This window comes from Homo sapiens, chromosome 4 (genome assembly GCF_000001405.40).
Source record: "Homo sapiens chromosome 4, GRCh38.p14 Primary Assembly".
In the NCBI taxonomy this organism is placed as follows: domain Eukaryota; kingdom Metazoa; phylum Chordata; class Mammalia; order Primates; family Hominidae; genus Homo; species Homo sapiens.
The window spans coordinates 10,239,514-10,242,087 of NC_000004.12; the positions used below are offsets into that span (position 1 = coordinate 10,239,514).

At 43.8% G+C, this 2,574-nt stretch overlaps 1 annotated feature.

The window, feature by feature from the left end:
• Positions 449-1,298: a transcriptional cis regulatory region, noted in NCBI's record as "candidate enhancer chr4.979 targeted for multiplex CRISPR interference". NCBI's record gives its function as "positively regulates ZNF518B gene expression with high confidence in K562 cells {active_cell/tissue: K562}" and the evidence as "EXISTENCE:mutant phenotype evidence [ECO:0000015][PMID:30612741]".

Here is a 2,574-nt window from a genome sequence, read left to right on the forward strand (position 1 = left end):
TTTACATATGACAAGACAAATACAGAATAGGTACCTGTGTAGAGATTTACCTTGTTATCTCTAGCTATCTGCTTTTAGGGACAAAAGGAAAGGCAGCTTTGTTCCCGGAACCAAGCTGGGTTCAGCTGCGTTTTCTCATGGCCCAGTGAGAAGCAGACTGACTAGCAAAGACTGGAATTTATTGTTGTAACTGGCTACAGGGAGAAGGTTGGAGATAATTTCACCAGACCAACTCAGTGTTACAATTTTCTCAGCGCTTGTATAGGCTGGGGTTATTTGCCTTCCTGCGGTATGGCATTCACCTAATTCTATGGGTAACTAATTGTTTCAACTAGAAGGTCAGAGGCCAAAAAAACGCTTTCAAGTCTGATCAAGCTGTGAGGGCCCCAGTACCTTCAAGGCCTGTCTCCCTAAATTCTACTTAATTGAGGACCTTGGTACCGGAGTGATTATTTCTATTTTACCTCATTTGCAGTTTGGTCCGGAGAGCTGCCTTAGACTCTCCAATACATCTATTCACACAGCTGCCTCTGTTAACTTGACTCGTCTGATGTCATCGAGCCCAAGACAGGTCCTGGCAGAAGAAATGTAAGGCTGTCTCCATTATGTTGACTTGCTCCTGGTTTGGGAGAAGCCTGTGTAGGGCATATGTTTCATTTTTGGCTTTAATACATGGGCATCCATTTCCCTGGGTTTAATTAGCTTTATATTAAAGCAGTGCTGTGGAAATTTTTAACTGGGGTGTTATACAGGCCTGTCTGCTGGTTGCACAGGCCCGTCCATGTGGCGGTCAGGGAGAATTGGCCTGCCACAGAATCATGCGTGACTTGGCTATTGGCTTAAATTTTTCTGGGGGGGGGGCATAGCAAATTGGGGTCCTGGGTTTTTATTTTCCTTTCACATAGCTTACCTACATAGCTTACAGAGAGGCCGGTACCCAACCCACCCCCTGCTCAATTCTATCAGGACTTGGCAAAGTGCCTGTGCATGAGAAGAGCTGAACAAACCCTTCTATGACTAGATAAGGAACAGCTGCCTTGTCACTATCTGTGTTAGTCAGGGGTCACTAGAGGGACAGAACTAATAGATGTATATATAAAGGGGAGTTTATTAAGGAGCATTACCTCCCACAATTGCAAGGTCCCACAATAGGCCCTCTGCAAGCTGAGGAGCAAGGAAGCCAGTCCAAGTCCCCAAGCTGAAGAACTTGGAGTCTGATGTTTGAGGGTGGGAAGCATCCAGCATGGGAGAAAGATATAGCCTGGGAGGCTAACCCAGTTGAATCTCTTCACATTCCTCTGTCTGCTTTATATCCTGGCCATGCTGGTAGCTGATTAGAGGGTGCCCTTCCAGACTGAGGATGGGTCTGCCTCTCCCAGTCCACTGCCTCAAATGTTCATGTTTTCTGGCAACACCCTTATAGACACACCCAGAAACAATACTTCGAATTCTTCAAGTTGACACTCAGTTTTAACCATCACAGTTATCATAAGCCTGGTACACTGGCCCCAATCCTCTATATGACCTCTGCTCATTGGGACTATCCAAGGCTAAGGAGTACTAAGGAGAATTGTCTCTTTGCCCAAAGACATCAAGACTGAGGACAGTACTCACTGATGCTTAGGAATTGATGTGTCTGCAGTGTTAACTGTGTAATCTAAATTTGCATGGGGCTCTGTTTCTCTCCCTCTAGACTGTTGAGCAGAACAAATTCTATTGAACTGCTACTCACCTTGGAAGGAGCAGGTATCTCCTTCTCGTGACACTTAAATCTGCTCTTGCAGATCCTCAGGTCAATGCAGCATCATCAGCTCACCCAGAGGTAAAAGACTGAATGCAGAATGCATTGAATGCACCAAATGCAGAGTGCTGGGAGCTTCTGCCTTTTCCTCTTCATGGATAAGAACTGAATGTTCTTATCCCAGAACATCGAGAGATAGTGGCAGTGGTCATTGTCAACATGAGTATTAGTCTTGTTATGTAGGATAATTTCGATATAATTGTTGTACTTCTACCTTAATAGCTGTATAATATCCAGTAAGGGAGTTTCCAGGGTACTGAGGATACCACGGGAAGGTTTTTCATTGTATACCTAATTTCTTCCACAGAAAATTGAAGTAAAGACCTACCTTTTGTGTAAGGTTTAATAATTCATGCTTTGGTATTCATGTATTCATTGGAAACTTAGATTGAACACTGGATAATACCCACATCTTTATTTGGTAAGGGTAAGAAGATACGCAGCTGTTTTCCTTGATCATGCTTCCCAGGGAAAGAATACTTCTGAGGCTTCTCATATGAAACTAAAGTGGCTTACTGGATTTTTCTGAAAAGACTGAGAGAACAGAGTATCTGTACAATTTTGTTCCTGCTCTAACAAATGACCACCAAGTTTTAATCAAATCTGTATCTTCTCACAAGTTTGAAGCAGGTCTCATTTGGGTAAGATCATGGTGAGGGCAGGGTTTGTTCCTGTCTTGTTGCTTTGACGACCATTGGATTCTGGACCTTCCCATGTTTATAGGTCCCTTCCATTGCTTGACTTGTGGGCTGTTGGTTCATGTGCAATTTCAG